The sequence below is a fragment of the Homo sapiens genome, chromosome 5 (genome assembly GCF_000001405.40).
Source record: "Homo sapiens chromosome 5, GRCh38.p14 Primary Assembly".
Taxonomy (NCBI): domain Eukaryota; kingdom Metazoa; phylum Chordata; class Mammalia; order Primates; family Hominidae; genus Homo; species Homo sapiens.
Window position 1 is genome coordinate 148,895,523 of NC_000005.10, and position 23,557 is coordinate 148,919,079.

The 23,557-nt window shown below is 42.5% G+C and overlaps 2 annotated features.

Moving 5' to 3' along the window:
* Positions 2,590–2,790: a silencer, noted in NCBI's record as "peak5531 fragment used in MPRA reporter construct". NCBI's record gives its function as "represses an SCP1 promoter by STARR-seq MPRAs in K562 erythroleukemia cells {active_cell/tissue: K562}" and the evidence as "EXISTENCE:reporter gene assay evidence [ECO:0000049][PMID:32103011]".
* Positions 14,616–15,815: an enhancer, noted in NCBI's record as "CDK7 strongly-dependent group 2 enhancer chr5:148289701-148290900 (GRCh37/hg19 assembly coordinates)". NCBI's record gives its function as "activates an origin of replication core promoter dependent on BRD2, BRD4, P300/CBP, MED14 and CDK7 cofactors, with strong dependence on CDK7, by STARR-seq in HCT116 cells {active_cell/tissue: HCT116}" and the evidence as "EXISTENCE:reporter gene assay evidence [ECO:0000049][PMID:35650434]".

The following is a 23,557-nucleotide window of genomic DNA, read 5'->3' on the forward strand; positions in this document are numbered from 1 at the left end:
CTTTCACCACTTCTATTCAACATAGTACTGGAAGTCCTAGCCAGAGCGATCAGACAAGAGAAAGAAATAAAGGGCATCCAAATTGGTAAAGAGGAAGTGAAACTGTCACTGTGCACAGAAGATATGATTGTATACCTAGAAAACCCTAAAGCCTCATCCAAAAAGCTCCTAGATCTGATGAATGAATTCAGTAAAGTTTCAAGATGTAAAATCAATGTATACAAATCAGTAGCTCTGCCCTACACCAACAGCAATCAAGTTGAGAATCAAATCAATAACTCAACCCCTTTTACAATAGCTGCAAAAAATAAAATAAAATAAAATAAAATTCTTGGGAATATACCTAACCAAGGAGGTGAAACACTCCTACAAGAAAAACTACAAAACACTGCTGAAAGAAATCACAGGCAGCACAAATAAATAGAAACACATCCCATGCTCATGGATGGGTAGAATCAATATTGTGAAAATGACCATACTACCAAAAGCAACCTACAAATTCAATGCAATGCCCAACAAACTACCATCATAATTCTTCACAGAACTAGAAAAAAACAATCCCCAAAGTCATGGAATTTTAGGAACCATGGCTAAATACTGGAACCAAAAAAGGAGCCCAAATAGTCAAAGCAAGCTAAGCAAAAAGAACAAATCTGGAGACACATTGCTTGACTTCAAACTATACCATAGGCCATAGTCATCAAAACATCATGGTACTGGTATAAAACAGGCACATAGACCAATGGAACAGAATAGAGAACCCAAAAATAAAGCCAAACACTTACAGCCAACTGATCTTCAACAAAGCAAACAAAAACATAAAGTAGGGAAAGGACAACCTATTCAACACATGGTGCTGGGATAATTGGCAAGCTACATGTAGAAGAATAAAACTGGATCCTCATCTCTCACCGTATATAAAAATCAACTCAAGATGGATCAAAGACTTAAACCTAAGACCTGAAACCACGAAAATTCTAGAAGATAACATCAGAAAAACCCTTCTAGACATTGGCTTAGGCAAAGAGTTCATGACCAAGAACCCAAAAGCAAATGCAACAAAAACAAAGATAAATTGATGGGACTTAATTAAACTAAAAAGCTCTGCACAGCAAAAGAAATAATCAGCAGGGTAAACAGACAACCTATAGAGTTTGCAAACTTTGCATCTGACAAAGGACTAATATCCAGAATCTACAAAGAATTCAAACAAATTAGCAAGAAAAAAAAATCCCATCAAAAAGTGGGCTAAGGACATGAATAGACAATTCTCAAAAGAAGATATACAAATGGCCAATAAACATATGAAAAAATGCTCAACATTACTAGTTATCAAGGAAATGCAAATCAAAACCACAATGCAATACCACTTTACTCCTGCAAGAATGGCCATAATTACAAAATCAAAAAATAATAGATGTTGGCGTGGATGTGGTGAAAAGGGGACACTTTTACACTGCTAGTGGGAATATAAACTAATACAACCACTACGGAAAACAGTGTGGAGATTCCTTAAAGAACTAAAAGTAGATCTACCATTTGACTCAGCAATCCCACTGCTGGGTATCTACCCAAAGGCAAAGAAGTCATTATACAAAAAGATATCAATCAAGTGGATAAAGAAAATGTGATATTTTATATATATAGTATACAGTATATACACATATAGTATATAGTATATATATATATAAATATATATTCATACACACACACATATACCATCGAATACTACTCTGCCATATAAAAGAACAAAATCATGGTATTTGCAGCAACCTGGATGGAATTGGAGACCATTATTCTAAGTGAAGTAACTCAGGAATGGAAAACCAAACATCATATGTTCTCACTCATAAGTGAGAGCTAAGCTGTGAGGAGGACGCAAAGGCATAAGAACAATACAATGGACTTTGGGGACTTGAGGGAAAGGGTGGGAGGTCAGGGGGTAATAAAAGACTACACATTGGGTAGAGAGTACACTGCTCAACTGAGAGGTGCACCACAATCTCAGAAATCGCCCCTAAATAACTTATCCATGTAACCAAACACCACTTGTTGCCCAAAAACGCATTGAAATAAAATAATGATAATAAAATACTCATAATAATTGCATGAGGTAGGTTTTATTATCCCTGGTTTACAAATTAGGAAACTAAAGTGAAAAAACTTGCCCAAGGTCCCAGAGCTATGTGGTGGAGCAGAGATTCAGTCCTACCTCTTGAATAAAAAAGGTGAAATTGAAGAATAGTTCTGGATTCAAACACAGGTTTTGTCATTTATTAGGAAAGCTATACAACAGTATTGTCTTTACTTAGAGACAACTGACCCGTTGTTTTAATGTCTAGTCTAACCCTGTAATGGCCCTCCTAGCCAGACACAAACGAAACATGATGCATATGGAATTCGGCGTTTCGGAAAGATGTGCACGCCTCACAGTACCAGTGGGAAACTACTCTTGTAAACAGCATAATTTTTAACCACCACTACCCCCACCACCACTCCCATCATGGCAAAATGCCCAAAGTCATTAGGCAGTAAGTACGTCAGTGTTTGACGTGAGTCTCAAATAAAAGTGCAGCAAGCCAGTATGCCTTGATTTCTGATGGCAAGACCTCACCGAATTGCTTATTTGAAGCCAGCACCAGAAAGAAGGGAGAAAGGGGTGATGGATTTTCCAAGGCAGGCAGTGAAACAGATACCAGAGCAACTGAGAATGACTCTAACTACCTACTTCTCTAGCGGCCTGGGAACACATCCTGGGGCATGGCTTTTTATGATCTGGTGTACTTCCTTTATGCCCTGAGATTTCCCTGTGGATCCCGGACCCTCAGGAATACATCATACAAGGCTCAGTCTTCTACCTAACATCTGCGTTTTGCACATTGCTACGCAGTTATCCCATCTCCCAACTGCCTGTTGGCAAATGCACAACACTTCAATCTACCCAGGTAATGCTTAGTGGGGAAATAGGATGTCAATGAATCCAGAGAACCTGTGATGATGACATAATGACTTGGCCAAGGTCATCCTGTGATGAAATGAAAAATGAAACTCAAGCTTGGTATCTGTACTGACATCTGTGGATAACCCATTAGTTTTTGGAACCTGACTTGGACACCTTAGGAGTGTCGGGTTCACACTGTACTTGAGGAGCTTAACTGAGACTGTGTCTTCTTTTTTCCTTCCCTCTTCTCTTTGAGAAATGTGGTCTGGCAAGGAGCAGAGCAGCTTTTTCCCAGGCATTCAAGTTTGAGTTGGTTTATTTCTGGTGCACTGGGTGGGATAAGCCAGGAGACCCAACTAGGATACCCCATCCTGCTGCTAGGAATAGAAGTAGGAGGCATCCAGTTTTCCACTGAATGGGAGCCCAGGCTGAGTGACTACAACAAAGCCTCAAATTAACATAGATCAGCAGAGGGGAAAGTGCCCCAGGCAAGGATGGTGAAGTAGATGATGACAATGACAAAATAATAATAATAATAATAGCAGCTAGAATTTATTGCATTTTACATGCGTTAGCTCATGTAACCTAACCTAACATTATTATTGATACCACATGTGTACATTTGTGGAAATACAGGCACAGAGTGATTAATTCACTTAAGTCATACAGCTCAAAGGTAGAAGAGCTCAAAATCCAATGTCTGACATTAATAGCTGAGTTAAAGGATATTCTTTTAGACAGCAGAAACATTTTTATAATTTTTTTTTATAAATGCAATCTGACCTAACACCCGGATGACCCAAGGTTCATCTATAAAATAAACAAAACCAGAATGGCCCAACTACCATTCTGGTTGGAGGGGAAAAAGGGAAGAGGAGAGGATGCTGAAGCCTCACTTGCTTGGCCCTCCAACTATGCCAGTCCTGGAGAGGAAGAGGAGCTTCTGTAGAACACAGTTTTTAAACCGCTGGTCTTGTCTGTCATCACCATCACCCTCCTTTTTTTTTTTGAATGACTACATATATTTTGATATATTCAAACGCCAAAAGTACATAGCAATGGAAAAGATGCACTATTCCTACATGAAACAAATAAATGAATTTCACAGAACATCGAGTCAAAAAGCTACATATAAAAGAGTATCTAATGTTCGTTTTCATTATAAGAAATTTCAAAAACTGGTAAACCCAATCTATGGTGACAGAGGACACGAGGATGACTGACTAGCTTTGAGAGCATCTCTTATTTTAAAAAGTAAGAAAATAAAAGTCTAATAAAGGAAATGACTTAATATTTGATTTAGGGTCAAAGTTGAATTCAAAGTTTCCATCTCCTACAGTATTTTTACAAATACCCAATTTCTTGCAAATATTTACTGAAATCTTTCTGCTTGCTAGGTGCTAGGTGCTCTTCTAGACCCTGAGCACTCAATAGTAAATAAAAAAGATAAGCTCATATTCTCATGTTGTCTGTATTCTAGTCGGGCGATATTGGCTGTAAGAAAATCAATGAATACATGAATAAATCAATTAAGAAAATACCAGATAGTAATAAGTAAAATGTAGAGAATTAAAATAGGTAAGAGATTACAAGTGACTATCTGGCTAGCTCAGATTAGATGATCAGAAAGAGGTGACTTTCAAGCTAAGACCTGAGGGACAAGAAGTGGCCAGCCACATGACAAGGAACGTGTTCCAGGCAGAAGGAACAAAGTGCCGAGGCCCTAAGGCGTGAAGGAACTTGTTCTGGTTGTGAAACAGCACTTGGTCAGTATGGTGGAGCAGAGTGAGCCAGAGAAAGAGTGGTACAAATTAAAGTCAGAGTGGTAGGAGGCAGCCAGAACATAGAGGGATTGCTAAACTGGGAAGAAGTTTGAATTTTCTGTAAGTTGAATAGGAAAGCCACTAGAGAATTTTTAGGCAGGTGAGAATGACATGACATGATTATGTTTTGAGAAAGTCACTCTGCCTGCTTTGAAGAGAATGGATCATAGCAAAGCAAGCATGGAAGCAGGAAGATCTGTTAGAAAATGAGTGCCTAAATCCAGACCAGAGATAACAGTGGCATGAACTAGAGAAGACTGGGAATACTAGGGATATAATTTGGAGGGATTTGTTTATGGATCAGATATAGAGGAAAAAGGGAAAGAGAACTTCATGAAAATTCCAAGACTTGATTTGAACAACTTAGGGATTGTGGAACACTAGGAAAAAGCACATATGTTGGGAAGATAAACCAAGAATTCCCATTTCAGCAAGCCAAATTTATGATGCCCATCAGACATACATGAGAAGAAGCTGAACATCCAATGGGATACAAATGGTGTCCAAAGGAGAGGTTAAGATTGGGTTTAATTTTAGGAATTCTCACATATGTATGATAAGTAAAACCATGGAGCCAGATGAGGTTACCTGGATGAAGAGGAGATAGAGAAGCTGAGCAGTGATCTGAGGCATTCAAACATCAAGAGAGAGAATGAGGCAGGAGCCAACAGAGGTCTCAGAGAAGGCATGGCCAGAGAAGAAGGAACGAAGGAGAGCATGATTTCACAGCAGCCAGAAAAATGTTTCCAGAAAAGGGAATGATGATCCATGATAAATACTACTAAGGCATCAAGTAAGATGAGAAGAGAAAAGTGATTTGGATTTAGCACTCCAAGCATACTCAGCGGAATGGGGGGACTGACCGCAGTGGGTGGAGGAGCAAATGTGAGATAAGGAAGTAGAGAAAGATTATGATGACCCTTTTGAAGTAGAAGGTGAGACTCAACTCCAGAGGTGAGGCTCAGACACCAGGCCAGATCGAGGACTAGCTGAAACAGGGAAGAGGCAAAAACACCTCTCCATGAGACACATCCACCAGTGCTATATCAGTTTACCACTGCCATGGCAACACCCAGAAGTTGCTGCCCCTTTCCAATGGCAACAACCTGACAACCCAGAAGTTACTTCCTATTCTAGAAATGTCTGCATACTCTTCTCTTTAATTTGCATATAATTAAAAGTGAGTATTCACACTTTAATATATGCAAATTTGCATATATGAAATATAAATTTGCATATATTAAACATATGACTACTTACTTTTAATTATATGCAAATTAAAGAGAAGACTATGCAGAAGGCGCTCAGAATTGCCTCTGAGCTGCCACTCTAGGCACATGGCCTATGGGGTAGCTCTGCTCCACAAGGAGCAGTAACTCTGCTGTTACTATACACTGCCACTTCAATAAAAGTTGCTGTCTAACACCACTGGCTTACCCTTGAATTCTTTACTGGGTGAAGCAAGAACCTCCATGGGCTAAGCTCCAGTTTTGGAGCTTGCCTACCCTGGATTACTTTCAAGAAGGTTTTCTGTGGAAGAAAGCCGAGAAATTAGATGGTAGTCTAGAGGAAGATGTAAAATCAAGGAAGTTCTTCTTTCTGTTTGATATTGCTTTTAATTGGAGACATTTGTGCCTGTTTTTAATGTTTATGGGATTAATCCAATAGAGAAGAAAAAATGAGATATAGGAGGGATTTTTTTGCCCTTGAGAGGGAAAAAAGCCATTGAGAATATAAGAGTAGATGGAATCCAGAGTGATAGTGGAAGGGGCTTCATTTTTCGTAATGGAAAAGTAATATTTTTACCAAAAAAAAAAAAAAAATCACATTGTACAGGACTTTTCCAAGTGTACTTGGCTTTAGCAATCATCCTCTTCCCCAAGCCATGTGGCAACAAAGAAAAAAATCCCTACATACTTCCAACTACTTCATGTGGGGTACAATACTGCTCCACTGAGTACCAACTAACAATTTTCTACCTGTTCCCTCTTTCTTGCTTGTCCCCAGCACTGGGCACCAAGTCTCAGGGCCAAGTAAAGGGATTTTTAAACTGAGAAAGGGATCAGGGGTTCTGGGGAAATGTGATACAGCAAAGTTCTGCCCTGGGATCAAGACCAACAGCTGGTAAAGCCCAGTTGGTAAGCGATTCTGAACGCCTCCTGAGAACCATTGCAACTTCCCAGTTAGAATAGTTGTCCCCGGCCTTCAAGATGTAATGTTCCATTCCTCTGCTTCTATCTATGATAGAGTAGCTTGTAACTTCCACAAGAACCAGTGAGAAACCTGGATGAAATACAAAATTTTAAAAATCTGTTTGAAGCCATCAAAGAGCAACTAGGACTTAAGAGACAAGATTATAAAGAGGATATGAGCCCCACTTCTGTTTTCCCCCTTGGGACATTTGCTGAGTCTTAAGCTGTCAGAGCAAGAGGCTAAAAGGCCAAGCAGAAAGTGTTGGAAGAGCTCAGGAGAAGTTTTAGCAGGCTCACAGTGCTCTGGAAACAAAAATTGGAATCCAGGAGCAACCAAGTAAGAAACGGTCCTGATAAACACCTAAAGATCTCACTTAGAACCCCTGGAGGGCTATAGGCTCACCACAGAAATTAGGCAGAGATAAGGCAGTCTTAACAAAGGCCAAAATCAATCTTTACTCAGCTGAGTCCTAATTGGATTGAATTACTCTAACTGCCTGCCAGAAAAGAAAATCTGTCATCTTGCATATACCAAATACAACTTATATATCAAGAAACAGTACCAAAAAGAAAAACAGACAACAGAAAGCAATCCTGAGGTATTCCAAATACGAGTTATCAAACACAGACTTTCAAATAACTGTGATAAATATGTTCAAAAAAGTAGATGACACGCAGAGAATTTCACTACAGAATTGAAATCTATAAAATGAAATCAAAAGCATATTTTAGAATTGAAAGATCCAATAACAGAAAGTCCTCTCTGTTCTGTGACCACATTTCCTCAATGTCTATGCTTGGTGGAGGAATCCACTCCAGGTGGCAGGGGTTGGGGGCAGGAGAAAGAAAGAAAAGAAATATTGGCTCATATTTGCAAGGGGCTCCAAACAACTGGCTTTTTCCTCTGCCCTCCAAGTATTGGACTGGGGCCCTGGTCACGAGACCGCCAAGTTGGCTTGAGCAGTGGTTCTAAAATGAATTTTTGAAAACAATAAATAAATCTTAGGATGTCATAGACATGAATCAGGAGCCAGTGAGGGAGACAAGGGGCTCAAAGACTTGCTTCCTCCTACCTGGCTGACATCAGCTGCCCCTTATATTCAATATCCAAAGCCCCTTTATACCTTCTCAGTGAGTGGTCATCTAGCCTTGTCTGGAGACCTGTTGGGGCAGGGCAGCCCAGCAGTTTATGAGTTAGCCCATTTTTTTTCCTTCTGGATACCATCTAATAACACCTCCCCAGGATCTTGTCCTCAAGTGTCTAAACCTCTTGTACTATTTACATGGTCCTTTGCGGTCTAGTCCTGCCTCTCTCTCCAGCCTCATTTCTTCCCACACCTTATGCTCCACATTCCAGCCACACTACATGTCTTCCAAATCCTCACCGTACCAGGCTCCTGTTTCCAAGGCCTTGCATATGCAGTCTGCCCTTCCAGAATGCTTTTACCCATCCACCTTTGGCTCACAAAATTCCTACTTCACCTTTGGTCCTAGCATTGATGTTATACTTTGGAGGAAGCTGCTAGTAATTTTTCCCCCAATCCAATCTAGATTAAATGTTCCTCCCAAGTTTTCCATAGCACCCTATAGCTCCCCCATTACAGCAAGTACCACCTTGGATTGTAACTGCCCAATCACTTGTCTGTCTATAGCTATGTGTAGGCAAGGACCATTGCCTGTGTTTTTCATTGTAGGCATATAGCCTACAGACTGCCTCGTGTATTCCAAGGGCTTATTAGGAAGAAATAAATGAATGGGTGGTAAAGCACTTAGCACAGCACCTGCCGCATACCTCGCATTCATTCATTATTTATTGATTACGGTCCAGAGGCTTAGGACAGCTCCTAGGTCTGTCATTAATTCTAGGATTACTGGTAATAAAGTCACCTCTCTCTTTCTTGGTCCAGGTTCTCCATCTGTAAAGGAAAAGCACTGGGTCAGCTCCCAAAAGGCCTTTCCAGATTTCCTTTCTGTCCTTATGCACTAGGGAGCCCTATATCGGCTAGGCCCTATATGGCAAGGCAGAGAGAGACCCAGAGCCCTGAGCCACAGCACTGTGTTGGCAGCACTGACAGATCCAACTTCTGGCTGCCAGCCTCTCACTTTGAGTCCACTGCCAGCTTGGCTGGGAGACCTGCTGGGAACTTACAGGAACATTCTGAGGAAATGCAAACTTCACTCATCAGCAATAGGGAGCCTGTGTGAAAGGAGGCCTGGGGTGTTGCCTGGGGATATATGCCTGAAGCCAAGTCCCAGATAAATACAGCTTCAGTTCTCTGGGCCCATGGAGCCTGTTCTTCTCAAGGAGAGGCCTAATGTCTTAAATACACAGCCACTGGCTCCAGGCACAGCATTTCCTAACCCCTGTGGGACTCTATTTTATCTGTGCTTAACCCATAATGGCTTAAACAGGTTTAGAACAAGCTATCTGCCTCCAGGTCTGGAACTTTAAAAAGGCCGAATGGTGTGATAGACGGAAATGCTTCACTCTGGGAGGACCAAGGCCCAAGTCCTACCTGCCTTGGCAAATAACTCACTCCTAATGTGACTCTAAAAATGGCCCTGCCCCTTTCTGTGTCTCAGTTTCCACACCTGTGAAATGGGAGTGTTCTCCCATAGCCCCTGGGCCGCAATACTCAGATTCTTTGACAACTATGAAGTTTGTCCCTGACACCCAAAGGAATCATGACAATGGGAATGCCTCTGTCTTCACCTTTCATTATAGTTATTTTATATTGCTCTTTCACCACTGTCTGAGTTGGGCTCCCAAACAGATCTGTGAGACAAATTAGGAGACACAGAATAAACCATTTAATTTCTGTTTCTTAGAGGAATATTAAACATTTGGCTTGCAAGCTTTTAAGACAGAATCATAGACCATAAAACTATTTAATAAGTACAATGTACTAAAAATATCCTTTACTGAGACAGATTGGTGAAATTAAAAGAGCACCAGCTTAAAGATCAGGAAGCCAGATGCTGTTCTCTGCTCAGGCCCAGCCTCAATCATGTGGCCCTGGGCAGGCACCTCCTCAACTTGACCTCAGTTTTGCCCTTTTTACAATGGTATCTATAAGTTCTTCTTGGCTCTGCTATTCTGGAATTATCTTATGTAGAATAAGTCTTCCCAAGCTGTGTGGGGCTTTTCCTGGTAGATTTGAGGGAAGTTTTGTTCTGTTTTGTTTTATTGTTTGCTTACCCTGCTACTGCCAGTGAAGTCAACACTACAAGCAGACAGTAAGCCAGGAAACATTTCTCCCTGTCAGGTCAGCACATCCCATTAGGTGGATCTGGTGCTCAAGTTTATTAGATCAGGAGACCGATGCTGGGGAAGGCTCACAGAGTGGTCTGAGTCAGTTGCTCTACCATGAGGTTGGAGTGTAGTAGATTCAACATCCTGTGTACATCTCCTGATCAATGGCCAATCCCATCTTCCAGATTGGAAATGAAACCCACAGTAGTTTGAAATCTAGTTGGTGTCCCCCCAAGTACTTACCAGCAAAGTTATTATTTAGCTCATTACTTCCTAAATCATACCAGTGGAAAAATTAAGACTCAGGGGCATGAGGGCTTCTGTGAGATTGGGCACACCAGATTCTGAGGTTTACAGACCTTGGATGCAGGCTCTTCTCGAGTGAGGTTGAGTAGTTGCACCTGTGCTCTGCACCCTACAAATGACAGTCAGTGTTAAGATCATTTACAAGGGAGTTTTAAAAAGAGGAGAGGCTCATTGGAGAAAAAGTAGGGAAACAAATAAGAAGGTAGAAGAGAAATTCAAAAAAAGCTAGAGGGAATGAGAGTATGTACCATGAAACACTTAGAATACCTCAAATTAGTCTCCGAAAAAAGAAAATAAAGTTTCCAAAAAGTTTGGACAATACTGACTACTTTATCTCACCTCTTGGAAATTTATATCCTGTAATAGCACATCAAAATCCTTGTAAAGTTCTGTGATTTAAAAAAACAAAACAAAACAAAACAAACAACCATTTAAGCTTAACCTAGTACAAGCAAACTTTTTGATCATGGAATCCAGTTTTCTTGCAATGCTTATCAACAATCCTGGAATACAGTGTCAGAAAAACTGATCTAAGGAAACCCAGTATGCTGGAGTGAAGAGGTATAAAGAGGAAACTGGTCCCTGTCTGTAAGGAGCTTACAAAAGAGAGATGAGAATTGCCTAGATGAAGAATCTTACGGGTATTAAAGTTAAAGATAGAGAGGGGATCGTTATTATCCAGGTAAGCGGTATAGGCAGCACATGTTGTGCTTTCATTGGTTTATTCACAAGTTTCTGGACCACCTACTACATACAGACACCATACTGTGCCCTGGGATTCACCGTGAGGGCAAGGAAGACTGACCTCTCCACCTCTATGGCTTAACCTCTAGTGGGGAGAGAGAGAGAAAAAAAAAGTAAGTGTAGATGTAAGTAAATATAGAATTACATGTTGTGAAAAGAACCCTGAAGGAAATGAGGAGCAGGGTTCTCTGATGAAGTAAGGGGGACACCTGCCTGCTCTGGGGTCAACAGTGATGGGCTTTCCAAGGAAGTGACATTTAAGTTTCAGTTTGAAAGATGAAAAGAAGCCAGGCATGATGCAAATGGGGCAAAAGGATCAAAACATACTTCATAGAGCAAGTTGAGGCTGTGGGCTTGGCTCAGAGCCTAAGTAGGTTAGAGAGGGAGAAACGGGTATGCAGTCATTTCTTGATTTAAGCAATGTGCTATCGAGTCTCTAACATGAGCCATCAAGCCAAATGTGCAACAGTGAGCAAACTGACAGGCCTTGGCTTTTCTAGAACGTTCTATGGGAAAAGATGCAGAAGCAGCATAAGCATGTAACAAAACAAGGTAACTTCAGATATTGAACAATGCTATGAAGAAAATGAAGCAGAGTAATGTGATAGAGAGTGGGGTGGGGGTGCGGGGAAGAGACAGTACTTAAAAAGTTTATCAGAGATGGCCTCTCTCTCCATTTGGTACTTGAACTGAGATCTGAATGACAAAAAGGAGAGGGCTATATAAAAAGCTGTCTGGGAAAAACACATCCCAGAGAAAGGAAGAGGCAAGACCTGAGGTGGAGCATAAGTTCATGTTCTAGGAATCCAAGGAAAGCTTCTAAGTGACAGGAACAACATGACAAATGACAGGGAGGGAAGAAAGTTACGTTTTCTTTAACTATCCTTTGCTAAAATAGAGCTCTCAAGCACAGAAGTGAAGAATTAAATATTTGGAAAAGTAGGCTGTGGCCCCATTGTAGAAAACTTGAATGTCAGGGTAAAGAGATGAGACAAGTTCTCTACATGTTTTCTAATGTCACGTACAAGACATTGTTCCCAGGCACAGCACACTCCTACTGGCTTATCCACAAGTTTTACTACTTTTATTATTACAATTACACTTTTTATTATTACCCACCAAAATGCTGTGGGGTAGGGGGTGTAAGAAACCGCAATAGTTTATGAATAACTATTTATAACACTTTAAAAATGGCAAATATGGCAGAAATTGCTTCCTGTCCCCCAATATCTACTCTTTCATTCTTCCCCTGTAATATGGCTGCCAAATTTCAAGTTGAAACACGGCTACATTTCCCAGGATTCCCTGTAGCTAGGCTCAGCCATGTGACTAAGTTCTGCCCAATGGGATGTTGTAAGCAGAAGTAGAAAAGTCAGGTTCTGGATTGTGTCCTTAAGGGAGGGGGCGTATCCTTTATTCCCCTCCATCTTCTCCCTGCTATCTGGATTATGGATCTGATGGTTGGGTTTCCACTCAGGATGGTGACATGAGGGGACACACCTGAGGATGATAGAGAATTGGAAGAAACCTGGATCCTGGATGCCTGTGGAGGCTCCATACCAGCCGTGAACTGTCTACATGAAGAGTTTCACATGGCAGAGAGGTAGACTTCTCTCTGTTTAAGCCACTGTTCTTCTAGGTCTTTGTTAAACGCATCTAAAGCTGGATGCTAACTAATATAGTCACTTCTTACAAGTTGTAGCAATAAATAAAATAAGCCTATTATAATGTAAATGAATTAGAAGGTATGTATTAAAAAGATAGCCTTGAACCCATTTTACATATACATTTTTAAGGTAAAATTTTCACAAATATCTGTACTTTCAAATATTTTCACATTCACTTACAACACAACTGACAAAAAATCATAGCATCATTTGTGTCATGACACTAAGGTAGACAATGCTGTGTATAACACAAATTGGTAACTCCATGAAGCTGAGGACAGCTGCCTCTCCAGAGCAGCTGGAACTGGGCTCCAATTAGAAATCACGTGATTCCTTAGCCGGGCACAGTGGCTCATACCTGTAACGCCAGCACTTTGGGAGGCATAGGCAGGAGGATCACTTGAGATCAGGAGCTCAAGACAGACCTGGGCAACATAGCGAGACCTCTACAAAAACTTTTAAAATTAGCCAGGCATAGTGGTGTGCTACTATAATCCTAGCTATTCCGGAGGCTGATCCCTTGAGCCCAGGAGGTCAAGGCTGCAGTAAGCTATGATCGTGTCACTGCACTCCAGCCTGGGCGACAGAGCGAGACCCTGTCTCTAAAAATAAATGAATAAGTAAATCATGCGATTCTCATCAAAAGCGACGTAGCCTGTGGACTAACTTTGGCATCTTACAAAGTTAAACATAATCTCCACCACATGACCCAGCAATTCTACTACTAGGTATTTGCCCAAAGGAAATGAAAACATTTGTCCAAACAAAGAGTTGTACATGAATGTTCAGAGAACTTTATTCAAGTAGCCAAAAACTGGAAACAACCCAGATGTCTATCAGCAAGAGAATGCATAAACAAATTGTCATATGGTACACGCAATGGAATGCTTCTCAGCAATTAAAAGGATTGAACTACTAATACATATAGCATTGTAGATGAATCTCAAAAATTTTATGGATGTCAGAGTACATCCTGGATGATCCCATTTATAGATCCTAGAAACAGCCAAACCCATCTGTAGAAACAGAAAGCAGGTCAGTGGTTGCCTGTGGCTGCAGGAGGAGTGGGACTGACTGCAGAGGGGCACAAGGGAACTTTCTAGAATGATAGAATTGTTCTATATCTTAATTGGGGTGGTGATCTAACAAATGTATACCTTGGTCAAAACTCTTCACTGTACGGTGAAAATAAGTGCATTTTCTTGTATGTAATTTACATTTTAATAAAGTTGACTTTTAAAGTTATTTTGAAAAATTACCAAACTAAACCAAGAAAAAAATGCTTTAAAGAAAGAAGGTAAATAGTGATTTTAAATATGAGTCCTAATTTAATGTCAAAAGTGGATATTCTGAATTGCAGCAGTATTTTTAAAGCAAACTGTTTCTCACATGAACACTCTGGATAGCTGTGCTCCAGGAAGAGAGGCAGTAGGGACTGATTTCCTGAAAAAACAGCTCCAGGAGCTGCCAGTGGATAGCAGGGAGGTGAGGCAGGAGTGCATGGAGGAGCCAGACTTGATTGGGTATGACACACCCTAGGGCAGGGCTCAAATGATCTGTGAAGGGCCAGGTGTCTTTTGTTTCTGTTGCTTGTTTGTTTATTTGTTTTGTAAAACTAAAAAAAAAAAAAAAAAAAATCCCATCTGCTAGAGGTCACAGAAATGAAAGTTCAACTTATTCTCCATGTATGTGCTAATGTCATCGCAGATCATAGCAACGTGCACAGATTGGCGCTGGTGCACAGAGCCACTTTCAGCAACACTGCCCTGGGGGTTCCTGGAACTACTTGGGGTGCACTCTGGAAGAGACCAAGGTCCCATGTAAGCAAACAGAGGCAGAAGTCAGAGACAAGTGGGTCATGATTATGAATATGCGGTCCTGTTTGTCCACAGTGCGTGGTGAGGGCTGAGGAAATGTGCTTACAAATATTTCAGAACAGGTACAGGAGGCTGACAAAACGCTGTTTTGGAAAGACTCATCTGGCAGCACACACCAAGGCTGGTGGGGCACAAACAGACTTGAATCCTGGAGACTGATGAGGAGGTTGATGCAACCAACCAGGTGGGAGATGGGTGACCGGGATTTGAACCATAGTAGAAGCTGTGGAAAGGAGGAAATGGAAGGCAGAAGATGAGGAAAGGAAGGGTCAACAATGACTGGTGACTTGTCAGGGGCCTGGGGGATGGAGACCAAGTCAGAGCTGGCCTGTGACACAGGAAGGAGCAGGTATTCTGAGGAATGAGGGGGAAAATGGGGAGAAAAACTTGAGTCTATGGCCTCCATCTGCTCTGGGAAATAGGAAGTGGGTTCTTGGGCGTGCCAGTGCTCCCTGACCTGGTGGTTCCTGAGGGCTGACTCTGCCTGCCTTGGCCTCCTGCCCAGCAATCCCTGACCCACTGCCGCCCACAGCACCACCCACAGTGGAAGACAAAGGGAGACAAACAGAGGGGTGCCTTTGTGCATGCCATTTCCCCGTGCCTGGCATGCGAGCTTCCTCCCACCCATTCTCTAACTATGACTCCTCCTCACCCAGGCCCAGCCTTGATATCACTGCAGAAGGAGCCAGGCCCCGCTGTATGTGGCCATGACACTCAAATGTATTACAGCACACATGTCCCATCACGAAGCAGCTGCTTATATGTCCATCTGCCCTCCCACAATGCAGGTTCACCATAGGGGTTGGATCCAGCTTGCATTTCACCAACCTTTAGCACAGTGCCTGATGCAAGTCACTGTGCTCAGGAAGCAACATAAACAAGTGAGGATGGAGCACATTGAAGGACAGACAAACACAGGCAGAAAGGTCATGTGAAATGGGCTCAGCTGGTGTGGAGGTGAATGGGAGCCAGAGGTCACACGGACTCTGCTTTTCTCCACCCTGTGATACACGTATGTTAACTATTATTTGAAACTGAACTTCTGTCATTCCAGACAGTTTAGCAGCTGCTCTCTGAATAAAAACACAATTGGAAGAGACCAAGATCCCATGTAAGCAAACAGAGGCAGAAGCCAAAGACAAGTGGGTCATGATTATGAATATGTGGTCCTGTTTGTCCACAGTGGGTGAGAGGGCTGAGGAAATGTGCTTAGAAAGATTTCAGAACAGGTACAGGAGGCTGACAAAACACTGTTTTGGAAAGACTCATCTGGCAGCACACCAAGGATGGTGGGGCACAAACAGACTTGAATCCCAGAGACGTGAAGCCCATCCGCAAAGACACTATTGTCTGGATTTGGACAGCATCACTCAGAGCAGTCTCACCCTAAAAAACCTTAGGAAACTGGACTGAGGCTGGAACTGACCAGTGAAGGGGAAGTCACCACCTTTAATCTGAGAGCAAGCAGTAAAAGAGAAGCTGGAAAATCCTTCAGTTCCACTGGCGCTGAAGTGATTGACATGACTTCACATCACTGACTGAAGAGGTGGAATAGAAACAGGTGGAATTGTCATAGACCTGGAGATAGAAGCCCAGTTTCAATGTGGGGTTGCCCACCCCGGGGACGGGGAGTGGACAGCACTCCAAGAATGGTCTGGGGTTTATGGCCTGGTTCATTCTGATGGGTTTGTGCCCTTACCGTAGAGGATGTTCATGTTTTGAGTATCACCCCTACCCACCACCATTTAGCAGGAGTTATCACAATGATTTCCTAATCCAGAGAAAAGGCTTCTGCAATACAGAGAGAAAAGGGATTGAGATCCCAGAGGGAAGTTACTAGAACAACCAGAAAGGGAAGCTTTCTATTGGAAGCAAGGATTTCTGGACACAAAACTTTCAGTACTGAAATCAAGGAAAGTCTTGCATAAACTGGCCTAGTTGGAAGGGACCTTAGAGATCATTGCCCAACCCCCTTTTTCATAAATACAGCCCCAGAGAGGGCTCACATTCACACAGAGCCTGTGGCAAGGCTACACCTGGAGCCCAGGTCTCCACCTCCACCTGCAGGGCCCTTTCCCCTGGTGGTGCTTTCTTTCAGTGCCACCTTCTTCATTTCCATAATTACAACTAATTTCTTGGTACTACCCAAAGCAGGGAGTTTTCTAACATCGAATTGTTAGATAGGAGGGATGGCAATGTCTCCCACAGTCCTGTTTCCAGGTGAGGAGGGTCCTAACGGAGCCATAGCTCATCCCACAAGTCCCTGCTGCCCTGCTCAAGGCAGGCTGCACCTCCCAACTCCTTGACTTGCTCTCTGGCAGCCTCCACAGTCTCTTTGAGTAAAAGAAGGCTCTCACCGAAGCCTGAACCAGAGAGTTTGCCTCTCTCTTTTCCTTGGGCTGCAAACAGGTACAAACAAAGACCCAAAATAAATAAAATTCTTTTTCTGTGCCACCCTTAGCACAACAGGGTGAGAGGGGAGAGAGCAAATGCTTAACTGGAAAAACTCAGGGACAAATCACCTGGAGCTCCTCCATCCACCTGCAGATGGCACCTCTGGTTTTCCTATCCTCTCACTCCTTAGAGGAGTGAGTAGTGAAGTGAGCAAATGATTTCTGACCCAGCCCTCCTGGAACCGGTGGTCCGAGAGTGCAAGGCCCTGGTGTGAGGAGTCCCACGCATCTGGAGATGCATGCTTCCCGAAGGATGATAAGATCAGCCTGATGGACGGACAGCTACACCTCCAAAGACTTTCAAAACAAGAGCACAGAAAATGAGCAACTTCTCCTGCCTCTCCTAAGCCCCAGGCTGCCTGTTTACAAATTTTCTCTCCTCTCTCTTCTCATGCCTGAATCTGTTCAGGAATGTTACATCCCAGCCTTTCTGGGATGACTACACGTCACAGTGGCAGCCATTGTAATGCCTCACATCCCGGAATGTGGCATCCCTGAATGAGTCAGGCAGGAGTGCCGGCTGTGAGAGAGGATAGCCTGCCTCATGCTGCTTCATCCTGGGATCATGGGGCTCAGGCTACTAGATGATGCATTTCAAGATTCCCGAAGGCAACATGCAATTTATTGTCCAGTTTGATGGAGAAAAACAGAGAAGTGGGACTACAACAATAATAATTTCACTTTCATCACCTTCTAATTTATAAAGTCCTTTCATAGCTAGGCCCTCAATTGACTGGTACAATAAATATCCTTGTGAGGAAAGCAAGGCTGGTAAAGCGCAGAGGCTGGAAATGCCTCAGGCCTTGTGCCTGGTAAGGAGCAGACAGGACCAGCAGCTGAGATGTTGGCATCATGCAGACTTCAGGGCTCTTCCCATTGCATGGTCCATGTCCTTCCTTCAGAAGCAGGCATGCTGCTTAGTCTGTAACGTAGACTGGCAAATGCACGGAGGTTTTTCCAAAAGGCTGAGGTAGAGGCATTGCACACAGCAGTCAGAGACACCGACGTGGGGGTTGAGTAGCCCCCAGCTGAGTCCTGGCCCTGCTTTCATTGACTTTGACCAAATGATGCTACTTAAATTCTGACCGTCAGTATCTAGTTTTAAAATAGATACAATAATGTCTACATCATAGATGTTTACATTAAGAAGATAAGGTCTTGGAGACAGTACAGCATAGTGGCTGAGAGCTATAGCGCTGGTGTCAATAGACCTGGATTCAAACCTCAGGTTTGCCTCTTGCTAGCAATAAGTCACATCACCTCTCTGAGTTTCAGTTTCCTCATCTGTGACATGGAGATAAAACCTCTACCTGTTTCATAGGGTTGTGAGGACTAAGTGTGATAATATATGCAAAATAGCTTATCTAAGTGCTTGGCAGGAAATAGGCACTTGATAAATACTTGCTGAATGACGAACTGAAATGACTGGCAAGGCTGGGATATAAAACAAAGACTGAATAACTCCAGAGCTGGGGCTCTTAACTTTCATGGAATGCTGGTTCTCAAACATGCCAAGCACCTCCCACCAGATAATTGGGGTGAGAGGCATTCTTGCAATAGCTGGGTAATTATCCTCAAAGCCCCTTCCAATCCTTAAGCATCCATGAGTTCACCTACTCTCTTGGATGCGTCCCAAAGGCCTTCAAAGAAGAGGAACTTGGGGAAGGAATGTAACCTCCATAAGAGCTATGTCTCCACACAAGGGGAGAATTGGGCTAACACACACACACACACACACACACACACACACACACACACACACAGAGGTATATCTGGCCCCATTCTACCACCAAGATGAGAGGTTTCTGTCTTAGAGACCGTAGAGAGATGCTGCTGTATGAGAACACTGAGGCCCAGAGAGGTGAAGCAATTTTCTTAAAGCTGCACAGCCAGAGAGTGGCAAAGCCAGAACTGGAATTCAAGCCTCCTGACTTCCAGCCCCAGGCTCCCTGCCACTGCCTCCCTATTTACACAGGCTTTCATAATCATTAGGGCACAGAATTAGTTCAGCACTAAGCTTTCAAAATCCACATGGTCCCTCCCATAGGTCCTCTTGAGGACAAAATCACTCAGGGATAAAAATGTATTAAGTCTTTTGAAATGGCAGAGGAGGGTGTTCCCTCACATAAGAAATCCTGAGGACACCAGAGTTGAAATACTGATTTGATCAGCGGATCATCTGGGCCCCATCTCTTGTGCAATTTTTGTCTTGTTTGGTATTCAGATGGTGGAAGTGTCAGGCTTCTGAGCCAATGCTCTCTGACAAGTGCATTTTACATGCCTCTGCAGCCCTGACCGAGGAGTGGCAGGCCTGAATCAGTTCTCACCAGAGGTTCGGAGAAATAGGTTGCTCTGATCCCCAATCAAATCTATTAGGAGTTGTCCCACCAAACAAGCCTGTGAATTCCAAACAGTGGCTACGTTCTCACTGCCCTTCCCACCTAGGTCACTGGCCTGGCTGGACGACAGATTCTGGAGCCCCAGATTGTCAGTGCTGGGCAGAGGCTCAGACATGTTTTGACGAAACTCCATACCTCTCAGCTGCAGGAACTAAGGCCCAGGAAGAGGAAGGGACTTGTCCGAGGTCACACTGTGGGCTCGAAAAGTGAGAGTTTTGTTCCTTTGGCCCACAATCTCCTTTGATCCTAAAGTGGTAGCCTGAGAAGTTCAGATAACAGAACATGTGACAAAGAAGCCAGAGCTCCAGGACAGTGAGGAGAGAGAAGAGGCACCAAGCAGCCCCTTAGTGACTGAGCTTCTAGGAGCACCTGGCACCCAGAAGTCCCTGTCCCCTGACAGTGCAGGTATCCTAGTGCCTAGAGCCAGATGCTTACATAACACGAAACCACACCTACATCAAACACACACACACCAAAACCAGAAGTGACCTTTTCTCCTCTTCACGCCTCCCAGCATCTGAAGCTGGATCTCCTGCCCAGATATGTCAGCTGGAGAATGAACAGCTTAATTTGTGATTGGAGACATGTAAGTTAGATGCAAGGAAAGACAGTCCCAAGTTTTGGAGCTGAGTGACGTTACTAAGGAATTTCCTTCTTTAGAGAGTAGTTTAATTTCAATGTTGGGTATGGTTATCCGAGAACATATAGTTCCAGAATTGAATAATCTATAAAGTTTGCTTGAACTGAGTCATTTGCTTCTGTTGAGATTTGAATTGGAGTCAGAGAAGTTTTTTGTTTTGGTTGCCAGGAGTGGAGTCTTACCCTAATATATAGTCCTTGGAAAGACCCACTTAGACACAAACAACAGCCACCACCCCTCCCATCCAAAAAATTAATACTTGGATGTGGGTCAAAACTGAGCACAGAATAACAAAACACGTGCTGTTTCCTAAAGTCACCTTCAGGAGCTGCTGGTATAGGAAAACTTTTTGTCTCAAAGACAAAGAATAGCACAGGCACCTCCATGAATCAGGCTCCAGAAGCTACTACCCGTCCCCCTTCATGAATCAAGGTACGAAAACTTCAGACTTTTGTGAGAAAATGTTTTAAAACAAATCCTTGAAGTTTAAAAAGAAAAAGAAAGGTGTGCTTTTCAGAAGATTATGCAATGTTCTAAACTACAAACAGCAGGAAAATTTTGTCCTCCCCAAACTCTAACCTGAGCATGCTTATTCTTCCTACTGTAGACTCTCCGCGATGGTAAAGGACCAACGAGGTACTACCAGGAAAGAGTTAGATACACAGAAATCACTCAGTAAATGTTTGTGTTACAAATAAGGTCAAGAAAGTGAGCTTTTTATGCAATTTAAACTAAAAAGTCATCCTGTTCAAAGCTTGGAGAGGTGTAGGAGAAATGAATGTCTGATCTAAATTGACTTTCAACCAAGACTGAAAGTGGCTGTTACTGATCCTAAGCACCATAACGCAACTAACATTTATTGAGTGCCTCCTGTATGCCAGGCACTGGGCTAAGTGCTTCATCTTGGCTACCTTATTAAATCCTCAGGATAACTCTGTGAGCAGGTAATTGTTATTAGCTCCAAATTACTGGAGAGGGAATTAAGGATTATGGAACTTGAATAACTTGCCTAGTAAGTAGCAGAGCTGCTACTCTGGGATCAGAACCTATGCCTTCCAACTTCACAGCCTGTGTTTTTTAAACCATTATGTTCTACTCCCTGCCAATTTTAAAAGTCTCTTATAATTGAGTGAATTAGGGCACTGGAAGAGAGGGTTTTTTTTATTTTCACAAACTAGCAGGGACTACACTTTAAGCTCATCGTGTGTTGCTGAGTGATGAAATTTGTCTCTGAATCTGGTTCGGGGAGTGCTGGCATTCTTCATTCCACAAACATAGGTTCATTCATTCAAATCCATATCAGCACCCAGAATAGGATTTGTACTAAATATAGGGTATGTGGAAAGAAAAGACAAAGGGGCTACCCTCAGGGATTTCCCAGTCTAGTAGAGGGAACTGACTTGTTAATCAGTTACCACCATTCCATTGGGTAGCTGTGGTTGTAGGTTTGTGTGCAAGGTCCTTTGAGGACCAGGGCCAAAGGAACAATGTAACATGGTGGTTATTTAAGTTCATAGATTCTACAGAAAATCAGGCCTGAGAGCAAATCCCGGCTCCGTCATTTAACTAGCTAGGCAAGCCGAACAAGTTCCTTAATCTTCTAAGCTTCAGTTTTTATCACTTTTTAAACGCTGACAGCAATATGGTCTATACCTCGCCCTGCTGTTATAAGAAGCCATCAAGGAAGACTAGTCTGGGAAACCAGAGATGGGTCTACACAAAACTTAGGCAGAAACGTAAGTAGGAAGTGATCGTTTCAGGAGGAAAAACTTTGGACAGAAGCAAGAAGGGGTGAATGTGCATCTGTATCTGTGTGCTCAGGGAAGAAAGTGGTTTGCTATTTCAGAAAAGAGCCAAGACAGAAGCTGGAGATGCAAGAAATGTTGCAAAAGAAAAGAAATGGAGGAGAGAGAGATTAGTGGTATCCAGTACTCCGAGCACAGGTATGCAAAGATATATGTGCAGGGAATTGATTGCAGTGTTGTTTGTAACAGAAATGAATGAATACATGATTGAATACATAAGTAGAAACAACCTCAACATCTAAAGGAGATTGGCTAAATAAATTATGATATAGCCACATCATCATGGAATAAAACTATTTGGATATTTGAAAAATGAGATATGTCTGTATAGACTTACATGGAAAGACATGTGCAGCATAGTGTTAAGTAAAAACGCCAGTTGCAAAAGGGCATATTAAAATGACCTCAAATTTTTAAATACATAAGCAATGGTGTAGAAAAATTTTTACCAAACTCTTTATAGTGGTTACCTCTAGGGATTGGCATTGAGGCAAAAGGGTATTGGTGATATTTCACTTTCTTTTTTTTTTTTTAATTATACTTTAAGTTCCAGGGTACATGTGCACAAAGTGCAGGTTTGTTACATATGTATACATATGCCATGTTGGTGTGCTGCACCCATTAACTCGTCATCTACATTAGGTATATCTTCTAATGCTATCCCTCCCCAGTCCTCCCACCCCATGACAGGCCCCGGTGTGTGATATTCCCCACCCTGTGACCAAGTGTTCTCATTGTTCAATTCCCACCTATGAGTGAGAACACGTGGTGTTTGGTTTTCTGTCCTTGTGATAGTTTGCTGAGAATGATGGCTTCCAGCTTCATCCGTGTCCCTACAAAGGATGTGACCTCATCCTTTTTTACGGCTGCATGGTATTCCATGGTGTATATGGGCCACATTTTCTTAATCCAGTCTATCATTGATGGACATTTGGGTTGGTTCCAAGTCTTTGCTATTGTGAATAGTGCCACAATAAACATAAGTGTGCATGTGTCTTTATAGCAGCATGATTTATAATCCTTTGGGTATATACCCAGTAATAGGATGGCTGGGTCAAATGGTATTTCTAGTTCTAGATCCTTGAGGAATCGCCACACTGTCTTCCACAATGGTTGAACTAGTTTACAGTCCCACCAACAGTGTAAAACGTTCCTATTTCTCCACATCCTCTGCAGCACCTGTTGTTTCCTGACTTTTTAATGATCGCCATTCTAACTGGTGTGAGATAGTGTCTCATTGTCATTTTGATTTGCATTTCTCTGATGGCCAGTGATGATGAGCATTTTTTCATGTGTTTGTTGGCTGCATAAATGTCTTCTTTTGTGAAGTTTCTGTTCATATCCTTCGCCCACTTTTCGATGGGGTTGTTTGACTTTTTTCTTGTAAATTTGTTTAAGTTCCTTGTAGATTCTGGATATTAGCTCTTTGTCAGATGGGTAGATTGTAAAAATTTTCT